The sequence below is a fragment of the Homo sapiens genome, chromosome 2 (assembly GCF_000001405.40).
Source record: "Homo sapiens chromosome 2, GRCh38.p14 Primary Assembly".
Lineage (NCBI taxonomy): Eukaryota > Metazoa > Chordata > Mammalia > Primates > Hominidae > Homo > Homo sapiens.
This window is the reverse complement of record NC_000002.12, coordinates 12,159,875-12,181,062: the sequence shown is the minus strand read 5'-3', so window position 1 is coordinate 12,181,062 and position 21,188 is coordinate 12,159,875. Positions and strand designations below refer to the sequence as shown.

Sequence of the window (21,188 nt, the reverse complement as noted above, 5' to 3'; positions counted from 1 at the left end):
TTTGATTGATTTGATACATTTTTTAGTAGGACAGTTACCAGAGTTTTCCCAAAGATAAATGTACATTTATAGGATGTGCTTTGATAAACAGAAAAATAACACTAGTTTGGGAAATCAGTAGTTGAGGCAATGGGTTATTCTCTCAGATCGAATGTACAATGATGTTCTCTTCATGGGCACATAGCTCTCTTTGGTAACCATTGCTGGACTGGGAACCATTACCTTCCACTCCCTCCAAATTTGCTTCCAGCAGAGTCTCTGCCCTCTAGCATGATCCTGACAAAAGATGACAACTCTGGCATTTGGAGCCCTTTTTAGAATAACATGCATGGGTTCTCTTCTTCCTCCAAACATCTAGCCAAAGACTCCTCACATTTGAATGTGCAAATGAAATCCTGGAAGCGGGGGATGTTGGATAAAATGCACATTCTGTTTCAGTAGGTCCTGAATGTGCCCCAAGATTCTGTGTTTTTAACAAAATGCTCTCAGACAACTCTGTTGGTCCATGGACCCCTCTCTGAGCAGCAAGGTTCTAAGGCAGGCCCATGTTCTTGCTCATGGTCCTGTTTCCATCTTGCCTTCTTATTCACGCCCAGGGCTTACCTGCCTAAAAAAGCTAGGAAGACCAACCATGTAGAGGGTGGGCAAGGTATGCATTTTGAAATCTGAAAAGCACATATTTAATCCTGAATCTTCCTCATAATCGTTCTGTGACCCTGGACAAATTAACCAGTCTTCCTAATATCAGTTTTCTTATCTTACTATGGATATAATGGCTATTTCACAAGACAGTTGGCAAGGATTAAATGAGATCACAGGTCCTTCATCCCTTATCCAAAATACTTGCGGCCAGATGTATTATGAAATCCAGAATATTTTTAGATTTAAAAAAAGTAATATGGTGTGTATGCAATATATTATGTAACAGGCTCACAGGGGCTGGGAGAGCAGCCCATATAATCAAATAAATTAATATTCATGCAGCAAAATATATGAATACTATACCAACCAGAAGGAATAAGGACCATAAACAGCTGAAGTTCACATCAGGTTTTCCTGCCAAATATGTTCAGGTCAGGTATGAGTTACAAGAAAGCTTTTAGTTTTCAGAGCTTTTTGGATTTTAAAACTATGAATAAAGGGACTGTGAATCTGTGTTTGGTCTGTGAGTGCACTAATCTTTCAGTTGAAAGAGTGTGACACACTCCTTTCCTCCTACATGTTAAAGGGTAAAAAAGCAAAGCCTCTGAGGTTAGGACTGGACATGCCACAGAACCAAATCCAGGGTATGAGATAACCAAATCAAGGGAGAGGCCCGTTCACTAGGGCCAGGTGGGATTCAAGGTCAAAGCCATGCCACACCTAGAAGAGCTCTATATTGAATCCCATCATTACTTTTTAAACCACACAGACACACACACATTTGCACACACATACAGTCACATTCCTCAAACTATCAGAACTGGGGCATGGCTAAGTTCAGAAATTGGGGTCTGGCAGAAGGTGGAGGCAGAAAGCCAAATCGCTTCTGAGAAAAACACACCCTAATTCCCCCTTTAGCTCATAAAATTAGAGGAGAATTTCTCTATGGAGGGCATTCAACTTCTCTCTTGAAAATATACGTAGGGAAATGTGCACCAGGCAGAGGTAGAAGTCATTGAAGTCATTTCACAACTCTTAATTTACATGGACAATTAAATGTTTGTAGGTGTAGTACCTTCTATTCTTTTTTTTTTTTTTTTTTTTTTGGATGATGATGATCATCTTATAATTACAGCTCTTGGTGCAAGATTTGGAGAGGAAAACTGCATAGCATTAAAAAGAAGAAGAAAAAAAAAAACACTTGTGAATCCAAGCTATGCCATTCCCTCATTTTTTAGAACTGTCTTCTAGCCAAATTGAAGTGTGGGACCGCCTTCATCCTGCAGCTTCAGCAACAAGGCATATATTCCCTGGGTACATGCTGGAAAGAGAGGTCAGAGGGCAGGACCTACTACATGTCCTGAACAGTTGGGTGAAGGGTCAAGATCTGTTATGTGTAGCAGGTGATCACCCTGGAATGTAATGCATTCTGCAATGATAATTGAAGTCTGAGATTGTTTTAGAGATTATTTTAGCAGAGACAGTTAGTATTGTAGTTATGAGCTTGGTCTCTGGAGGCAGCCTGTCTGAGTTGGATGCTGAGCCCTTCTGCTTACTGATCATGTGGACTTGAGCCAGTTGTTACGGCTCTGAGATTCTGTTCCTCTACATGTAAAACAAGGATAATAAGAGGACCTGCTTCGCAGGATTACTGTGAACGTTGAATGAGTTAATGTGTGTCAGGTCTGAACACAGCACATAGTAGGTGCCTTCATGTTAATTGCTGTTATCTTACAAGTCCAGCTTCCACTGCTAGACTGAATTGGATTGAAAGCCAGTCCCTGTTGACTGACCGCCCCTGGAGGACAGCAGCTCCTCCACACAGGGAGGGAGTTCGGGTCCATCTCTTTGACTCTACCCCATAACTCTGGGGTGGGCCTGATGGGAAGGAATTATCTACCAAGCCCCAGGCATGATGCCAAGCTGTTGAATACTTCATCTCTCAGGTAGACAGTTATCTCCATTTCCCAGATGAGGAAACTGGTGCTCAGTAAATTTCAGTGACTTGCCTAAGTCTGTACAACTAGTAAGAGATAAAGCCACCCTTGGAAACCACAACTACACAGTTTCAAATTCCATACTCTTTCCACCAAATGCACAGTCTCCAGAATTTCACACAACCCCTCGAGTCCTCACCTAGAAAGTTTGAGGGCAGAGATAGGATCATCACCTCTTTCAAGAGAAGGAGGGTAGAGCAAGTGAGGATATTAACTGCACTTCAATAAACCACTCATAACATAAAAATAACACAGGAAAATCTCATGATCTGTTATCACCATCACGTCATTCAACCTAAGACATGTCAATGGCAACAATGTAGACAGGACAGAATATCCTGGAAGATATGGTGCAGATGTTCAAATCAAATAGGTCCAGCTCTTTCAACAGTTCATTTTTCTCATGGGCAGCCCACCCTGCTGCCTCCCATTTGGGCCTCCCCTGGGCTGGCTCCACAGTGGAAGCCCATGACCAGCAAACAGTGACCCAGTTGAGGCAACCACTTCATCTGCCACATGGTTCCAGACTTCACAGAACCAGAGAGAAAAACACTCTTCCTGTCAGCAGCTGAAAAATTTTGCTTTGGGCCCCAGGGTAAGTGTGACTGGGGCCTGTGTGGTCTAGCAGAAAGTTTGCTTGGCTGCCTGAGGAAAGAGAGACACTCAGGCTCATCTTAGTGACAGGGAGAAACGTGCAATTTCCCCCATGTGTCCACAGCTGCTCTCCTGCCAGCTGGACAACACAGACTGGCCTCATTCACTGAAAATGCTTCCAAACAAGTAACCTATAGCCTGCACGGGACTGCAGCCCGGGAGCCAGGAATCTGGCTGAGAATGAATGAGATACCTCTCAGCAGAGTTCCAAGTTGGAAAGAATCATTAAAAATGTGGCCATAATTTCTCTACAGAAAAAAAAAAAAGAGGACACATTCAGGGTCATTCTGAAATAGTCTTTGCAGAGACATCTGTTCCCGTTACAGCTTTGCTAAACCAAATATGTACGTGATGCTTCTGGTTTTCCTGTCAAGCTGATCAAAGGGTGTTTGTGTGTAGAATAATACATTTTAGGAACGAATGCCAGGCATGTCTGCAAATATTACATTAGAGGAGGGACAAGTTGGGGTGGTGTGGGGAGGGAGGGCACACGGCTGAGCTAATGGCCTTCCTGTAGCTGTTGCAGGCTGGAGAAGCCGAGGTGACTGTGGGGACTTCAATGAAACTGATAGCATCTCTGAGTCCAGGCCGGGAGATGACTCACCAGTGGAGACTCATTAGCACAGGGTCACCCAGGGACTGAGAGGTTCCTTTCAGAAAAAAGAAGCACAGACATCCAGCATCCTTCCTGCATTTCAATAACTCTGTTTAAACCAGGAGGAACTGGTTCCACGAGACCATGAACCTACATTCTCAAAAGAAAGACGCATTACATCTAATTAGGCATAGTTTTATTGATTTCTAATAAGATTTGGGGAATTTTTAAATTCTGAGTATCAAATTGACAGTTGGAGTTCTTTCTTTCATTTTGTTCACGTTTTTTCTTGTTGTTCTGAAATGCTGTGTCACATTCATGTACTCATGTGGAACCTGAGTGTCAACATGTGAGCCTGCAGCCTGCCTGCTGCATTGCTCACCTGGGTAACACTGAAAGCTCTATGTGCATTTGTGAAAAAAAAAATCATGAATTAGATACATCAGTCAGAGAATCATGTCAATCACAAAAGACAAAACACTCCTTTTAAGGATGAAACCTGGTTTGCAGCTCACTTTCTCCAATAGAGCCACTGCCCAGACCTGTCCAGCCCTCACCATCTGGCATGTCTCTGCAGCAGCTAATGTTAGAGACCTTCTTCCTATAAACAGCATCTCCCTTGGTTTTGGTGGGACTATTCATATCTTGTTTTCCTCCTGTGTATCAGATCATTCCTTCCAGACTTTTCTTCCAGACTCCACTGTCTCTACATCTCTTGTATGCTGCTGGCCACCCAGATTTTTGCCCCAACTTGCCCCAACTCTCTGCTGTACTTCCTCTGCATTTTGTAGGCTCTCACTCACTGTCCTGGCTTGGGTCCCCATCTCTACACTGATGCCTCTCCTGCCTCCCCTCCAGACCATCCTTCTGAGCTCAGGTTACAGAGAGCCAGCAGCCTCTGCACGATGGGACCCAGGATCCCAGAGTGTGCACCCACTTTGTCTCTAACTCTGGCATCAGCCTCCTAGTCAAGTCATCCAAAACACCGGGAATGATTCTGGACCTGTTCTCTCCTTCATCTGCTGCAAACTGAGTCTTGCGTTTTCTGTTTTCTCAGCATCAGATACTTTTTCCTTTTTCTTCATCCCCTGTGAGATGCTGACCACAGTCCTGGCTCACCCTTCTCATGCCAAGACCACTGCCATCCTGGAAAATGGGCTGTGTGCCTCTAACCGCAGTCCCTGCCACACTTCCTTGAACACTTTATAAAATTCAAATCTGATCACTCTTTCTTAACCCTCTTCAGGGTCTTCCAGTGCCCAGAGGATCACTTCCATCCAGAGTAGTTCATCATACGAGACCCTAGTAATCTGGCCCCTGTGTTCTCACTCAACACTTCTCTTTGAACGAATGCACAACTACTTACAATTCTCCCAAACTGCCATGTTGTTTCACGCCTCTTTGCATGCCTTGAAACGGAAATACCACTACCACCGCCTTCGGTCATTCTCTCTTGTTCACTTTTCAAGCCTCAGTTCCTCTTCCGTAAATCTCCACTCCTTTTCTGGGAGAATTATTCTCTTCCATGTTCCTGCTGACTTCTGTCTCCCACAACTCACTCTGTCAGGCCACACTGCCCACGTTTACATGTCTGTGACTCTACCACCTGCTGGTGTGTCAGTTTGACTAATTCTCTCAGTTTGTCTTGCCTTGCTTTCTTCATCTATAAAATGGGTATAGCAATACCTACCTCAGAGGTCTGTGCTCAGGATTAATTGAGTTAATATATTTAAAGTCCTTAGTGCAACATCTCCCAGAGTAACAGGCACATATTAGGTTCTCAGTAAATGTATAATTGAACACATAGAATAAGCAAATAGACACCAGCTACTTTTGTCAGCCCATGTATTAGTTTTCTGGAGTTGCTATAATAAAGTACCACAGACTGGGTGGCTTAAACAACACAAATGTATTTTTCTTACAGTTCTAGAGGCTGGAAGTTTGAAATCAAAGTGTTGGCAGGGCTGGCTTCCTCTAAGGCCTCTCTTCTTAGCTTGTAGATGGCGTCTTCCTGCTGTGTCTTCACATGGTCTTCCTTCTATTCATGTCTGCATTCCAAACTCCTCTTCTTGTAACGACATGGGTTCTATTGAATGAGCACAACCCCATGACCTTATTTTCCCTTAATTACCTCTTTAAAGGCCCCATCTCCAAAAACAGTCACATTCTGAGGTACTCAGAATTAGGACTTCAATGTATCAACTTTAGGGGAGAACAATTCAGCCCATAACAGTCCAAGTCTCTCAATTTTTACTGATGTTTTATTTTAATCCTTTGATAAGTAAACAGAAGAGACAGCCATGTCCTACTGTTGAAGGATGGACAGTGTAATGTCACAGTGCTGATATTAACATGTTCTGAGGCCTGTGTGAATGTCGTAGCTCCACTGGGCCTTGGTTTCCCGCTCTATAAAGAAAGGAGATGAACCTAGGTGCTGACTTCAGTCTCTCCCATCTCTGATGTTTGGGGATTATATGAATAACAAGTGCACACCCAAAAGGTAATTTAGAAAATGTCTTCCTTCCGTGTACCTTTGGACCAAGGGTCTCCTATCTGTACATCTAGGTCATTGTTGCCTCATGGGTTCCTAGTGGGTGCGGCTCATCTATTTGCAAATTTTTTTTTACTTCATCAAATACTAAATCTAACATTTTTATATTTCTCTAAAATGTTTCCTCTTTTTATGTGTTGCTGCACATGCATTCTGCTATAAATTGTTAACCATAGTTTAAACCTAAATTTATAAAACTCAGCCAGAATACAGAAATCAGAGCAGTACTAACCTTGAGGGGGTGAATACAGAGTAGGAAGGGGCCCGAGGGACCATCCAGGATGATGACAATGTTCTATATCATGACTGAACAGTTGTTACAAACGTACACACTGATGTAAGAAATCCATCTAGCTTTGGACCTGAGAGATTTGTGTATTTTACTAGATGCAATAATACCTCAACGAAAATATATAAATACCATAAGGATAGATTGCACTTGGTGACAGCTACCATGCAGAAATGCTGACCTATCACTTTTCTCTGAGCAGTTGGTCCTGTGATCATTTTGGAATGTGACTTTTGTACTGCCTGCAATTCAGGAAGGGAGGATGTAAGGAGACCAGAAGGTTAAGTCTTTTTCAGTACTCTTTCTATCCACATATTATCTCTAAAAAAGTGGAAGGAAAGAGGAAATTCTAAAGGAGCTGAGAAAGGGCTAGATGTGTTGGGTCTGAAATATCTCAGTATCCAGAAATGCTTGAGGGATTAGGACTCCAAGAAAGGAAGAAAGACACAAGCCAGTCACTATCTCCTGAGATGAGGCTGTTAGAGACCCAGAGAGAGACCCACTTCCCCTCTGGAAGGAGTTTCCACAGGGATGAAATCCTATTCACATTTATGCCTGTGTTCTTGCCCAGCGTAGTCCTTATCCCAGCCATTAGTGGGCACTGGGTGACTGGAGCATTCTCCCTCTGCTCCTTCAGTCCTTCAAACTTGCAAAAAAAAAGATAGATTACATAGATGATAGATAGATAAATAGTGATAGATAGATAGATAGATAGATGATAGATGTAGTAGGAGTGATTGATAGATTAGATAGAGGGACAGATATAGATAGATAGATATAGATAGATAGATAGATAGATAGATAGATAGATAATAGATAGTGGTAGATTATATAGATGATACATAAATAGATGATAGATAGAATGATAGAGTGACAGAGACAGATGATAGACAGATAGATATATTAACAGATAGTGATAGATAAATAGGTAGATGGACAGATAGAGATGGACAGAGATGATAGACAACAGAGTTATAGAGAAAGAGAGAGAAGGAAGGAAGGAAGGAGAGAGAAAGAGAGAAAGGAAGAGAGAGAGCAAGAGAGAAGGAAGGAAGGGAGGGAGGGATTCACTAGTGATTAGAGTTCTGAAAGGAAAACATCTCCTTTGGCGTCACTCTCTGACACTTAGTGTGATGGTACCAGCCCAGGCACAGCAGTGAGGACTTCCCCTCAACATGTGAAAAATAAATCTTTCTTACTTACCAGCTTCACTCTCTCCAGGGATTTTGGATCTATTCCTGCCTATGTGTGCTTGGAAAGTAGTACTAAATGGCAAATGATTTTTTCTATAATTATGTTTACATAGTATTTTTATTATATGCAATCTGAAAAATATCTTCATCATATTTTCTAACATGGGCAAATACATGTCTTAATAATCGTCTGAGAGGGCAATATCTAAATTTTTAATGTATTACCTGTTGTTTTCCTAAGTACTTAACCTTGGCCATGGTTCTACAAAGTGTCCATCCTCCAGAGGGGATGTTAGAACATCTTACGGAATGGATTCCTCTATTTATCCCACAGTAATAAAGACTTAAGTTCACACAAAAACCTGTGCACCTATGTTTACAGTGGATCTCTTCATAGAAATGGCAGACTAATTAATGGTTACTGGGGTTAAGAAGGGGATAGGAATGGAAGAGAAATGAGTGTGGCTACAAAAGGGCAACAGAAGGGCTCTTTGTGATGATGGAAATGTTCTATGCTTTGCCTGTATTAATCTCGATGCCTTAGTTGTGATATTCTCCTATAGTTGTCCAAGATGTTACTACTAGGGAAAACTGAGTTAAGGGTACACCACAGGGTCTCTGTAATAGTTCTTACAATTGCATGTGAATCAAAATTATCTCTAAATTAAAACATTAATTTTAAAAACTAAAAACAGATGCCTCAGGCATGGAAGATAGGATCACAGGCATGGGAACGGGGTGCTGGGTAAGGAGGTTCACCTATTAAAGCCACCTCTTCAATTCTTCCTCTGACAGCAAAGGTGTGGGCTTGCTGCTGCTTGAGGGGAAGAGTATATGGCAACTGGGGACCAAAAGCTCACTCTTTTCCAATGCCAGTGGATGGTGGGAAGGAGACAGGGAGAGAGAGTATGAGCACACGTCAAGCTGAAACTACCTAGACATTCCCCTCTCAGTACTAGAAAGGGACAAGGAAAGTGACAGCACAAAAGGTCTCTTGCCCTCACCAACCCCAGCAGAGCCATATCAGCTTTGAGGCTCAGTGTGGCCAGAGAGAGGGGAATCCTGAGGTTTTTCTTTCCAAGCCACCTATTTTCTTGAGTTTAATCAACTCCAAGATGTGAGCAGGGCATCCAGCAGGACTGGTAGCTACTAGGAGCTTAGGGGATGTCACCCAGGGGCCAGAGCTCCAGCTCAAGAACCCCAGATCTTTGCTCTGCCAAACACACACAGCTTGATGAGGAGGACCGGGAAGGGCAGGGGGGTTTCTGCCGGGGAACACATGGATGTGCTGCAGAGGTCGATGCACCCCCATTCCACAGGAGGTCAATGTATCCCCATTCCACAGGAGGTCAATGCACCCCCATTCCACAGGAGGTTGATGCACCCCCATTCCACAGGAGGCCGATACACCCCCATTCCACAGGAGGTCGATGCACCGCCATTCCACAGGAGGTCAATGCACCCCCATTCCACAGGAGGGGGCACAGGAGCTCTGCACTTAAGTTCACACACTGCCAGAACTTTCCCTAAGTGTCCCTTTTATAATAAAACTGTAATCATAAAGTATAGTGTTTGCCTGAGTTCTGTGAGTTGTTCTAGCAAATTATCAAACCTGAGGGGGTCATGGGAACTGATGTGGTTTGGCTCTGTGTCCCCACCCAAATCTCATCTTTAATTGTAAACGCCACATGTCTAGGGAGGGGCCTGTAATCCCCACATGTGGAGGGAGAGAGGTGATTGGATTATGAGGGCAGCTTCCCCCATGCTGTTCTCATGATAGTGAGTGCATTCTCATGAGATCTGATGGTTTTATAAGGGGCTCTTACCTCTTGTCTCTCTCTCTCTCTCTTTCATCTGCCGCCATGTAGGATGTGCCTGCTTCCCCTTCCACCATAATTATAAGTTTCCTGAGGCCTCTCCAGTCATGTAGAACTTGAGTCAATTCAACCTCTTTTCCTCATAAACTACCCAGTGTCTAGTATGTCTAGATTCCATATGTCTAATCTAATACAGATTAGAGCAGTGTGAGAACAGACTAATACAGGAGCCCTTGAATTTATAACCAGTTGGATAGAAGTGCAATGGCCTGGAGACCCCCATAGTGTGGCTGGCATCTGGTCAGGGCAGTCTTGTGGAGGCCTAAGCCTTTGACATGTAGAGTCCTGCGCTAACTCCAGGTAGTTGGATCAGCATTGAATTGCAATCCACCCAGTTGGCATGGAAACAGGACGGAACCCTACTCCAAGCTCTAGATGTAGGAACAGTATTCTCAGCAGGTCAGGGGTCCCTCCTTTGTGTACCACTGTGCCCTGCCTGACTTCTACCTTAGTGCCTCTGATGTGCTTGGGAATTCATTTGTTTGAATGAATGTCTCTCCCACAAGACCCAGGCTTCTCATGGGAAAGGACCAGAGAGCGCTCAGGTCTCATGGAAGTTAAAGTCTTTTGAGGGAGTGTTTACGTTTAAGTGTTACATATAAGTGTTTTACAAAATCCTAAGACCGTGTGCCACATCACCAAGGCCCCTCTGCCTTGGAAGAGGCCAGGAGCGTGGTGAGGTACCCTGAAGCTCAAGCACCACTGGCCTCACGGCAAACCTGCTGTGTCCAGGCCCACATCTCATCCTCCCTGGCATCCGGCTCGCAGAAGACATTCTGAGCCCGTGTACCAATGAATGAAAGATTAAGTAATTCATCCACAAACACAGATCCAAGTAGGAGTAAGGCATTTCTTAACCTTAGACTTAAAAGATGATTTGATTCCTTCTGTTTAGATAACAAGGGCTTTTTTTTCCTTTGAGGTCTGACCTCACTTACTATTTTTGCCTGAGTCCCTGCAGTGGGACTGGGACGGACACACAGGCTGTGATGACAGGGTCTAAACACACAGGAGCCGGGGAAGCTGGTCATCTGGTCTTTGCAACCAGTTTAGAAAAATCCCCCAAGAAATTTGTGTTTCATTTCAAAGTTAAACCACTAAAGAATCAAAGAAGGGAGCTGAAATGCAAATTTAGGGCTCATTTTAACTTTAGGAGGATTTAAGGTCTTTGTCTCAGTGCCAAAAGCTTTCTCTTTGTGGAGAATCCAAGTCATTAGGTTGCCCTGGCATTTGCTGGGGTTTACAATAAAATAGTTAGAGGCTTTTTCACAGTCACCCAGCATTAGGAGACGTGTTGTGTGGCACGTCATGCCTCTCATACCACAAGGAATTCTGGAACCACTCCTCCCCTTCCTTCCTGCTGTCACTGCCCTGGTTTGGCCTCAGAAGCGGGTCTGAGATGAACAAAGAGGCACTGGATGTGAGATCACACCGACCTAAGTCCCTCTCTGACTGGCCCTGACGTACCAGCTGCGTCATTGAAACTTCTCTGAGCCTCTATTTATTTATAAGATCCCAGCATTCAGTAGCTGCCACCATCTTGGCATCTTCCCATACCCTGGGTACAATTTCAAGCTCCTTTTGTATGAAACAGGAATCCCAATTTTTCATCTCAGGTAGCTGAAGAGTGACATCTGAAGTGTCACTTAGAATCACTACCCTGGCTTCTATCTTCAGCTGCAGAGAAGACTGTGCTACCAAGAGGATAAATATGAAAGGGTCTCTCTCACCAGCCTGAAAACAGCCGGAAGGTACAGTCATGTGCCATGAAGGGCTCAATGGAGGTGGCTGGGTCATGCCAGGGTATGCAATTAGGAGCTGGAAACCATACAAAGATAAACTGAACAGGTCAGATGGTAAAATCAAGAGATGATGTACGAGATAGGAAACTATCTTCTGGTAGTCTCATGCCTCCCTAGGGAAGCATGAGACCTGTTTCGCCTCTAGGGAACCAGCAACTCATTACTGAATCACTAAAATGTTGTTGACGAACTCCTCAAGCCCCAGAAGGAAATGAGCTTATGTCCTTGCCCGTGTCTCCCTTTCATGCCTCTGAACCTCCTCCCCAGGCAGTTGATGAAATGGTCATTTGTACAGGGGTCACTGTGAGTTCAGAGCAGCCTGCAGTTCTCCAATTCACAGCAATAAGAGCTGGATGTGTTTCAATTAGGTTCACAAGACTATGAAGTCATCCTGGATCCCAATCAGCTGATTAAAAATAATCACATTGCATTTTCAGAGAACTTGAGTATTTTGAGGATAGGAAAGAGTCTAATTATTTTTCTATATGATTGCCTCATTCTAACTATTCCACAGTGGCAATGGAAACTAATGTTTTCCAGCACCTCCCATTGACTAGGCCCCTTGCTAGTTGTTTTTCCTGTGTTACTTCCTCTTATCCTGACATCAAACCTTGAAGGCAGAATCATCATCTCCATTTTAGAGATAAAGAGACTGCAATTTAACATGCAAAGCTTAAGGTGACTTCCCTACACCTGTACAGTCAGGACAGTCTGGTTCTAATCTTGGAACTTAATCTGTTCAACTCCGAATCGGATCCAGCCAGGGCCTAAAGTTCACCTTCTTCTCTCTGGGCCCCCTGTGGCCTTCTTTCCTTCGGATCTGACTTTCCCAGAGACCACGTGAAGTGGTCAGGCAGAGCTCGTGCAGCTCCAGTCCAGGCTGAGAAGAGCACAGGCTGAGTAGTGGCTGTCATCATGTTCAGGCTAGGCTGGTTCAGCTTGATCAATGTCAACAGGATTTCCAAAGTCAGAAGTGCCCTAGGCACCAGGTGAATTGACATGGTTCAGCTCTTCAGAAGATAGCTGTGCTCTCATTTTGCTCAGGGCCAGTATGCTGCTATTACTGCGTTAATTTCCTGCTGGCTCTATTTTCCTATCCACCTTGCAGTTTTAGAATATGTCCCTCAAAAGAAATAGACACAAGTGTTCTCAGATTCTCAGTAAAATCTCACCTTGGGGTTTCAGCTTTCCAGGATGGCGCCGCTCACACCATTCCTTCTCCTGGAATGCCTGTTCAGTCATCTGCTTTTCCACCTGACGTAGTCTTGTTCCTCAAGATGCTCCTTCCCCCAGAAAGCCTGAACTGATGTCCTTGGCTAGGTGTGACCTTTGTTTCTCTGACCTTTGACATCTGCCTCTCTGGTGGCACTTAGCGCAGTGCCTTGGGGCCTTGGTTTACTCTTGGGGGCTGGGGGCTCCTTCCTGTCTTTCTCCCTCATGTATCCCTCCGTTCCTTGAACATCCTGCCTGAGATAACACCTAAAGCAAGGGCTGTGCATGGAAAAAGACACACATTACACTCAATCGTTCCACTTCATGCAAGTCCCTTGGTTCTCTCACTCAGGATCTGCAACTGCCCGCCTCCCAGTGTGTTGTAAAGATGAATTTTGTTATGTGTCTGTATACCGTATGCACAATGACCACTCACTCCTGGCCAGTCACAGTGCCTAGAATACAGCAGGTCACTGTGCACAATGAGCCATTGTCTCCTCAGACAAGGACCCTGTTTCAGCCCTGCCAGTGGTCTCTGCTGCCCCCTGGGGCAGCCCTCTGAGGTCGTCAGGAGACGGTGCTAGACGGCCTGTGCAGGCAGGACCCAGGGCAGGCAGTTCACCCTCGGCTTTGGGTAGCTGAGAAGTTTATTTTCTCCCTAAATCAGGAGGCACTAGAGGGTGAGCCACACTAATCAAGCTCGTGGGTAACTGAAACAAAACAAAAGAGGTGCCTTACGCAAATTTCTCACCTTCTACTGAAGAACAGACTTCTAGCCTGAGATTCTCTGTGGACACTGTTGGACTGTCCTTCTCCCGATAGTGAGAAATGCACTAAGCATCAGGAGCATTCTTAGGAAGGCCAGAGCTACAGCAATGGGCTTGGAGTGACCCCATGGGTCAGTATCATCCAGAGATCGCTTATCACTAAGCCAACTTCTGTTGGCTCTGCAGGCAGCCTACTCTGGTGGGCATCTCCGGACCTTTTAACCAATGCTTACCAGTTTCCTAACATGCTTTATCAATTATCAATGTGACAATCCTCTGAGCAATTGTTGATTGCAGACATATTTTAATTTCTGAGATAAGAGATTTCCTTATGCTTCATTTTAAATGACTAATAATTAACAAATGACTGATATTCACAGATTGTTTTCCTATTCATAAAATGCTTTCACAGACATTGCATTTAACTGTCCTACCATGCTGTGACGAGGGGAATATTGTTCCATTTAACAGATAAAGAAATTAAAGCCAGTGGCCTGCATTCACTCCAAAGCCACTAGCTCAGGAAGAATAAAACCAGGTTTCAAGTCCAAGTCCTTTGACTCCAAATACTGTGTTCTTTCTATTAATTATATTTATAAAATACATCTTTGTTTTCATAGTGCTTTACCTGGTTCTCCAACAACCCTGAGGTGTTGCATCCTGTCTGTTTCAGCGTGTGAGCTCCAGGAGAGAGCAGACGCTCCATGAAGCAGGGCTCTGTCTGTCTGTTGATTGCTCTAGGGGTTCTGAAAATAAGAATTGCTTAATAAATGTTTTATGAATAAAAGGGTGAAAAGTACAGAGAGATAAATTACATGTCCCAAACTGCAGAGCTAATAGGAGCTAAAGTTCGGAATTGAGCCCTCTTTTTCTGTGTGGGTGTTTTGATTTTGGTCTTTTTGAGACAGGGTCTCTGTCACCCAGGCTGGAGTGCAGACGGACGTGTGATGGTTAACACTGAGTGTCAACTTGATTGGATTGAAGGATACAAAGTATTGATCCTGGGTGTGTCTGTGAGGATGTTGCCCAAAGAGATTAACATTGGAGTTAGTGGTCTGGGAAAGGCAGATCCAACCTTAACCTGGGTGAGCACAATCGAATCAGCTGCCAGTGAGGCTAGAATATAAGCAGGCAGAAAAATGTGAAAAGAGAGACTGGCCTAGCCTCCTAGCCTACATCTTTCTCCCCTGCTGGATGCTTCCTGCCCTCAAACATTGGACTCCAAGTTCTTCAGTTTTGGAGCTTCGACTGGCTCTCCTTGCTCCTCAGCCTGCAGACGGCCTATCGTGGGACCTTGTGATCGTGTGAGTTAATACCTAATAAACTCCCCTTTACATATCTATCCCATTAGTTCTTCCCTCTAGAGAACCCTAATACAGGTAGTGTCATCACAGCACACTACAGCCTTGACCTCCCACGCTCAAGCAATCTTCCTGCCTCAGCCTCAGCCTCCCAAGTAGCTGGGACTATAGGCACATGCCACCAAGTGTAACTAATATTCTTTTCTTTTCTTTTTTTTTTTTTGGAAAGATAGAGTCTATATTATGCTTCCCAGGCTGGTGTTGAACCCCTGAACTCAAGCGATCTTCCCACTTCTGCCTCCCAAAGTGCTGGGGTTACAGGTGTGAGCCACCCTGCCTGGTTGACCTTGATTTCTTGATCTAAGTCTAATTACATTCCCAAATCAACATTCTGCCATATAAATGGAATACTAGATCATTTCCCCTATTATTGGAAGCAACACTCAGCTTTACATATTATCTCAAGGGAAAAAAGTCAGGAAATTAAAGCTGATTGCTTTCATGTGCACCATATCCAGTAATTCCCAAGTCACCCCAAAGGAAGAGAGTATCCTTTTTGTACAGACAACTAAATAAAATCTTACAGAAGTCATATAACTTGTCCAAAATCACAATGGAGGAACACACGTGTGTCAGGATACCTGATTGAAATAATATTCATGACAGCTACTGCGGTGAACAAGCTGAGAGGAAAATGTGCAAGGGACTAGAACACTACTGTGTTTTGTGCCAGTGCTCACCTGTAGGTGACTTTGCTTCCTTCATTTAAAAAAAAAATTATTAACAGATTAGGTAGTAGGACTAGCCACCACTAAGCTATTAGAGAAGCATGACTAATGTGCAATGATGGAAAAGATGGTGTGTAGCAAAAGTTTCAGAGTACCATGATAATTCAAGGAAAGGAGAATTCCCGAAGATGTGCAATCGTTAGGGAAGGCTTTGTAGAGACCATGAGATTCAAGGTCACCAAATTGGAATAATGAAAAGCTTCTTCTTCTACCACTTACTGCCCGTGACATGAATAAATAACTTAACCTCACTTATCCCCAGCAAAATGGGGATGATTAGAGTCTGCCTTATATAGCAGCCTGCCTTACAGTAGAATAAATGAGATGATCTTAGAGAGCACTCAGCTTTGTACCAAGCACACCATCAGGACTCAATCCATGCTATCTATAAGAATAATCACAGCAAGCACCACATCAATAGCATCCAGGTTCAGAGCCGAAGCTCTTTCTCCCACCTCTATTTCAAAAAAAATACCCAGGGATCTTATGAGTCCTTTCTTAACCACTTCAGAGAGGAGTGAACAGCCTCCTCCTCCGCATTGCTGTTACCCGTGTTGGTGTTAGGTTCTCTTCTGATACCTGCATATGGGCCTCTGCCCCATCCGAGGTCTTCCTGCTTGTCTCATACATCTCTCCATCCTCAGTGCCAGTGCAGGGTCTGGCACATGTTAAATACTCAGTGGATGGTTGGCAAATACGCTAGGGATTTAGAGATAGGAAATGGACCTTAATTTTACAGAATTCACAGTGTAAATTTCAGATTATCCAAATAGCGATTTAGTCTATAAATATTCAGGGAGCACCTACCAAAGTACTAGCCCAGGTGCTCATATTCTGGAGCTAAAATTCTGTTTGCTTTCTCAGAAAAAGAGTCTTAGCCAGTGGAAGGACCAGACAAATAAACCAATAATTGCATCACATTACAGAGCTTTGAGCCCTCCAGATACCCCAGTCTCCTGACAAACAGAGGAATCCAAATGATGGCCAAACCCTTAGGCCATCATTACATGAACCATTTCATCTATTTTCTAAAGCTGCCATCATTCTGCACAAGGAGAACAGAATTGTTATTGAATATGACTGTGGCTAAGTCTCAGCTGGGGCAAAGGAAGACCTAGAAAAGCAAGAGTGACCCAGCCTCCACGGGAGTAACAGCAATGTCACAGGCCCATGTTAGCATGTGTGAGCGCAGGCATGTCAGGAGCTAAGCTGAGATCCAGGAGCAAGAGAAGGCCAAAGCCCCAGGGAGGTATCAGTGGGGGGCGAGCTCTTGAGAATGAGCGTGCAAGCTTTAGTGTAGCAAGAAGCTAGGGCCCAGTAGAGAAAGGGGAGTAGAAATAACCTCAACAGCTTTCTGCCTCTGCGCCTCTGGCTTGGCCAGCTCGGTGCCCAGGACCACCTGCCACACAGCAGGTTGCCGTGAGCCAGAGCATCCTAAATGAGGCGAAGTCTAAAGAACATGTTTTTGCAATTCTGAGATCGGTCGGGGACAGGGTGTTTCCGGTATTGAGCGGTTCAGACAGTGGAAGGCTGGCCGGGGGATAAAAGGAGAGATGTGTCACAAGAGAGGAGAGCACAGCACGATGGGGGGCAGCAAGGATGGACCCAGCTACTGCATGGCTGGAGGTGGCCGAGGGCAGGCAGGAGATGCAGTGGAGGAGGGACTGAAACTGAGAGGAAGGGGAATGAAGGAGGGGAAAGAGAATCTCCTACAGGAAAATGGGAACCAGATGATCCAAGCCCCTGGGGTACAAGCAAACATGGTCTATGACATGCAGGTAGGCAGCCCCCCACTGCAGTGTGGGGCCGTGAAGGGCACAGTGGAGACCAGACCAGGATAGCCCCAAGCCTGGGGGTGGGTCGCGTGCTCGCTGCCAATATTGGAATTCGTCCTGTGGGCTGTGAGCGTCCTAGCATTGATCACAACATTACAGAGAGTTTCCTTTCATCGCGTGAACCGTTGCCTTTCTTCCCTTTCCCCAAGAATGTAAGTGCTATGAGAGTTTTGACCAAACCTGACACATAGCACGTTTTTAATAAAATTTGCTAAATGAATATGTGCTACATGCTTAGCAATGTATCCAGTGTATAAATGTCAGCTATTATGAGCTATTCTTTCAAATATAGTAACCTGTTATTTATGTTTTTCAATGCCCGGTTGGTCTGTTTTTGGAAGAGAGGGTAATCGTGAATACGTGACTGTTACCTCACCATTCCACCTCTGATTTACTTTCCAGTGATTTTCATGAATGCCCTCCCCCTTCTTCCCTCTCCCCCACCCCATGCCACCACCCCCATTAATTCCTTCGGGACAAGAACTAATCCTTTGACTGAGTTCACGCCAACAGGAGAACCCCTGAACCAGGGCATGTGAGGATAACGAATCCATGGAGAGTCAACAGAAATATTTATCCCAAGTTTCCTGCATGTCAGGCTATGACAGCTTGCCTTCTGTCTCAAACACTATGTTCATGGCAATAAATCTGCTAAACTCCTCCACCAACCTGCTCTCTCTTCCCAAGGCAGAGAAGCTGTGAAGAATGGGTGTTCTGTCTTAGAAAAACAAAATTACACTACTCCCCAGGGTGCATTTGAAGTGCACCTTGCTAGAAAATTACGCCTTTGAAAACTTTGTCTAATTATACCTTAGTTGACAAAATTAGGCGCTGACCCCAAAGTGCTGCAATAGCTGCAGTTGTATAAATGGTGGGTTGGGACGTGTCTGCCTGTATGTGGTATGGGTGGTGCATGGTGTGTGTGTGTGATGTGTGTGTCTGTGGTTTATATTTGTGTGTGTGTGGTATGTGGTGTGGTATGTGTGTGTGGTATGTGGTATATGCATGTATGTGAATATATGTGTGGTGTGTGTGTGTAGAAGGTGGTATATGTGGTGGTATGTGTATGGTGTGTGTGTGTTATGTGGTTTGTGTTTGTGTGTATGGTTGGGAGTTGTGTGATATATGTGTGTTTGTGTTGTGTGTGTGTGGTTAGGGGTATGTGGTATATGTGTCTGTGTTGTGTATGTGGTGTGTGTGTGTGTGTGTGTGTCATCGGGCAGATGTGTGGCATATGTGTCTTTGTGTTGTGTGTGGGGGGGTGTGTGTGTGCGTGTGTGTGGAGTGCGGTACCTTTCCTTTGCAGAGGTCACAGCATAATGAAGGATCCCAATGTCTTCCTAACTTTTGGCTGGAGGTCCCACTGTCCCCCTGAGACCTTCATATTTCGGAAGATGTATCACGCTGTGGAATAAGGCACAGGCTTTGAAATGCAGAAACTCCAAGTCAGATTCCAGCTTCATCCACAGCTGGGTGAGAATCAGGCATGTTTTTTCACTTCTCTGAGTCTCATTTATCACATTTACAGCCTGGGGGCAATACAAGTTAGAAGATACTGTAAGGGCTAAATGGGAAAATATGGATAAAACCCAGATCTCAGTGTCCAACACACACACACACACACACACACACACAAAAGGACTTCACACAGCAGGCTGAGGACTAGGCCTTGGCCCTGTTTCATCTGACACACACTAGGTGCCCAGCGTGCGTCAGATGAAACAGGGAACTAAGCTGTACTAAGGCAGTGATGTGCACATGACTCTCACCCTCACTGGTGGTGATTATGGCCTTGCGGAAGGACGGCAGAGCTGAGAGGAGAGGAAAGAAAGGCGGCCAGGAATTCTTAGGTACTGTGTACTGTTTCCCAGTGTTAAGTTCTGCTGTGGGCTTCCACCTAAAAAGGACAAGACAATAAAGCTGGAGTTCCACCCTCTCCCAACAACAGATGAAAGTGCAGGCCCCTCATGGCACAAGGAGGTGCCTATTCCGACTGCAGCTGCCACTTGCTGGCGTCCTGACATCCTCTCCTCAGCCACTCTACGAATGAACCCAAGGCAGTCCCCTCCCTTTGGGGGCCTTGATTTCCCAAATTAAAGGAAGTTCCTGGATTGGATGGAGTGGTTTTCAAACCATGCTGCAGCAGCTCCTGCACAGGGAGTTTGAGAGCAGCTGGGAGATGGATGGAAGGAAAGCAGGCATGGGACATCTCTTGTCTGCAATGTAAGCAACTCCACGGTGTCTGTTTGGGGTTCTGAGCTCCTGCCTCCCACAGGAGACTTAATGTGAACAAAGGACACCATCCAAAGCTAAAATAAAAGCCAAAACAAACAAGCATATGTACAACTGCCATCACAATAAAATCATCTCCCCATAAAGCAACAATAAATTTGGACAAACCTGCCTAAAACAGCCACTTCAGTCCTCTGGAAACCAACCCAAGTCATACAACAAACTGAGAAGCAGTTTTTCAGAAAACTACTGAATTTCTTTTAAGAACAGCAGGAATCTGGGATGTTCTGCCCAGAGCTGCTCCCATCTCCACCCCCAACTCTGTCAATAGTTCAACAACATGGGCAAAGGCAGAGGCTGTGAAAACAATAAGCTCCATCCATTACCACTTTCCGAGAGCTAATGTGATTCGAGGTGTTGTCAGTTCAAGTGACAAGCAACAGTGAGAGCAGGCAGCTCCACCATCCTGAGGCTGAGGTCCTTTTCGGGCAAGCAGGGGACGAAGGGAATAGTCAAGGAATTAATAACTGGTGGACAAGTGAGGGATTTTACAGGGGGTTGAGAGGATGGGATGAAGTGATGGTGATGGGCTTTGAGAAGCTGCCCGCACATCCTGGGTTGACCACAGGGCACTCACATGCACAACAGAGATAGGAGCATAGTCCTGGTCTTCAGAACCCATGTGCTCTTTTGTACCCAGCAGACGTGAGAGGTGAGCAAACCTAGCCAAAAAAAAAAAAAAGAATAACAACTGGAAATCAAGGAAATAGAAACAGAAAAACAATAGAGAAAATCAGTGAAAACAAAAGTTGTATTTTTGACAAGATCAACAAGAGAGACAAGCCCTTAGCTAGACTGGAACAGAAAATATAGAAAAGATACCAATTACAAAACTAGAAATAAAAACAAGTACTTTTTTATTATAAGGGTTATAAGGGAACATTATAAATAATTTTCTACCAAGAAATTAAGAAATGTAAATGAACTGGATACTTTCCTAGAAAGACACAAATTATCCCAAAACTGACCCCAGAAGAAATAGAAAAATCTTAATATATCTATAACTAAATAAATTGAAATAAAAATTATAAATTTTTCTATGTAGAAAATCCCAGACCCAGCTGAATTCACTGATGAATCACTTTTTAGAAAAGTCACAAACTTTTCTGAAAAATAGAGGAGGGAGAGATATTCCCTTAGCTTATTCTGTGAGAGGACTGTTACCCTGCTATCAAAGTCAAATGAAGACATTTCAAAAAAAAGAACATTACCAACGAATATCCTTTATAAACATAGATGCAAAATCTTTAGCAAAATATTAGAAAACTAAATCCAGCAACTTACAATAAGTGTTAAACACTATTACCAAGTGTGGTTAACCCCAGGAATATAAAGTTTTTTAGCATAGCCTTTGACAAAATCTAACACCTATTCATGATAAAAAATAGAAAAT

The 21,188-nt window shown here is 44.2% G+C and overlaps 1 long non-coding RNA gene across 1 annotated transcript in view, besides 1 other annotated feature; it reads right to left on the bottom strand.

Moving 5' to 3' along the window:
• The window catches only part of MIR3681HG (MIR3681 host gene), a 571,233-nt gene that overhangs the window by 397,286 nt on the left and 152,759 nt on the right, over positions 1–21,188 (bottom strand). Inside the window, exon 3 of the long non-coding RNA NR_110196.1 lies at positions 14,208–14,325. This is a non-coding gene — a long non-coding RNA (MIR3681 host gene). The remainder of the gene's footprint in view (positions 1–14,207; positions 14,326–21,188) is intronic.
• Positions 17,245–17,746: an enhancer, noted in NCBI's record as "H3K4me1 hESC enhancer chr2:12303443-12303944 (GRCh37/hg19 assembly coordinates)". NCBI's record gives its function as "activates a minimal SCP1, AML or CMV promoter by ChIP-STARR-seq in primed H9 embryonic stem cells {active_cell/tissue: H9 hESC(primed)}" and the evidence as "EXISTENCE:reporter gene assay evidence [ECO:0000049][PMID:30033119]".